This window comes from Homo sapiens, chromosome X (assembly GCF_000001405.40).
Source record: "Homo sapiens chromosome X, GRCh38.p14 Primary Assembly".
Classification (NCBI taxonomy): Eukaryota; Metazoa; Chordata; class Mammalia; order Primates; family Hominidae; genus Homo; species Homo sapiens.
Genome location: NC_000023.11, coordinates 46,444,622 through 46,446,875, shown reverse-complemented (window position 1 = coordinate 46,446,875; position 2,254 = coordinate 46,444,622).

The following is a 2,254-nucleotide window of genomic DNA, read 5'->3' as shown; positions in this document are numbered from 1 at the left end:
TTTACCCTCCTGGGAATAGGAAAAAGAGTCGCGCCTCCGGCGCCAATAGCGCTCGGAGGCGTGGCCATCTAGGGTCCAGGCTGGTCTCAGGGAACCCGACCCTGGGCCTGGCTCTCAGAGAGTCATGGGAGCAAGGGGTCTGGCTCAGCCGGGGAAGTGGCCTGGAGGATGGGCTTTTGAGCTGGGCTGCAGAGCCAGCGATCTCTTGAAATGAGGAAAGAAACCCTCATTCTGATTTTTCTCTACGCAATAGAGGGGCTCCAATTCCTGAGATCCTAGACACCCTGGGAGAATCTGGATTTTACTTTTTTGAAAACGCACTGTAAATAGCAAAGAGGTGTTTTCTGTGAGATTGCCAGCCAGTGGCAACATGGTCCCCTAAAAAGGCCTGTAATGGCCTTGAGGAAAGTTTTCTGTTTCCTGTCTGGGCCTGGGGGAAACAGACGAAGTGTGTTCTCCATCCTTCTGTGCCTGCCTAGTCACCAAGCAGGCTTCCTTGGGTCAGGCATGGCAGGGTCTCCACCAGGTACAAAGCAATCCCTTCTGTGCTGGAGCCAACTGGTGCCAGACACTGTTTATAGATGAAAGTGTTAAAGCTGATCATGGAATCCATCAGATATGTATTTAATTTCCATTTGAACATGGGTCTTTCTCCTTTTTCTTTTTCGCTTTCTCCTCTGCAGGTTAACTTGCATTCCCCAGGTAGTTTGAATGAGTCTCAGCCCAAATTTGCAAACTCAGTACAGCCATCCCCTGGGAAGTTACCCTGTCTAAGCCTCCTGTACAAGTCCTAGGAAAAGAACCTGTTTTCCTTTGGGCATGTGAGCAGTGAATTATTGCTCATTCAGAATTTCATGTGTATGTGTTGCTGATGGCCAGGTTTAGAGAAACCAACCTATTTATTTTTAGAGGAGAGGTGAACTGATAACATTCTTTTCAGACATCACTATCACGAGGCAGGAAAGGGCTAATAGTATGACAGTGTCCTGAGGACAATAGAGAAACTGCAAACTGCAGAAGCACCTGGTCTGTGGCCCTGACCAGCATCTCTCCATTTCAGGATATGGAGATTCTGCAGGAACAGGTATTTCTTCAGAAAGAGAAGGGACTGATATTTTAGATGTGACCAGATGCAGGGCACGCTCTTATTGCCATGCCAGCATTTGCTATTCATGATGTTAGTATTCAAAAATTAAGAAACACCCTGCCTCGGCCATTGGTGTCTACTAATCCATTGGAAGAGAAGACTGGAATCCACCACTTGCTAGCTTCTTGGGTCTCATTCCCCCGCTTTCTCCCATAGCTGAGGACCACCTAACCTAGATGGCTGCTGTAATTGTTCAAAGGAACATCTTTAGAGCCTGAAGCCCAGGAATAGCCCGTGGCAGGCACCTGGTAAATGTTAGTTTTCACTGCCTCTCCCAACACTATGAAACATGCAGCACTCTCTGCAACTGACCCTGTGGATTTCCATAGGCAGGAGAATATCCAGTGTTAAGTGGAGCTGGTATTTTCAGAAATGAAGCCCCTTTCCTTATTTGTGCCAGCCCGTTTTGTCTTAGGCATATGTGCATTGCATTATTGCCCACTCTGTATTTTATTTGCATCTGTAACGATGGCCAGGTTCAGAGATACCACCCTATTTACTTCTAGAGGAAAGGTGAACTGATAACCTTCTTTTCTCATATCATTATCTCTAGGTAGGAAAGGGTTAATAGAGTTAGTGTGACAGTGTAGTGTGGACAGCATAGAAACCTCCCCAACCTCCACCCGCCCGCAAGCTGCAGAAGTACCTGGTTTGTGGCCTTTGCCAGCCTCTCTTCATATCCCGATTCTGCAGGAACAGGTGCTTGAACATTAAGAGAAGGGGCTGAATCTTTGGATGGGGTTTCATGAAGGGCACACCGTTATTGGGATGCTAGCATTTGCCATTCATGACATTGGCATTCGGGTATCATGAAACACAGGAAGGTTTTTCCAACCCCCCACTGTATTGACTGTTGGGATCTACTAATCCAATAGAAGAGAAGGCTCAAATCCATCATTTACTGACCCGTTGGGCTTAAGTTCCCTCCTCTTTGCCATAGCCAAGCACCACCTGTCCTAGATGGCTCCTGTTTTGTTCAGAGGAACATCTCTAGAGCTGCAGGCCCAGGAATAGCCCTTGGCAGGCATCTGGTAAATGGTGTTTTCATTTTCCTCTCTCCCACACTATGGAACATGCTGGTGCCCCTTTTGGACTTTTCCATACTGT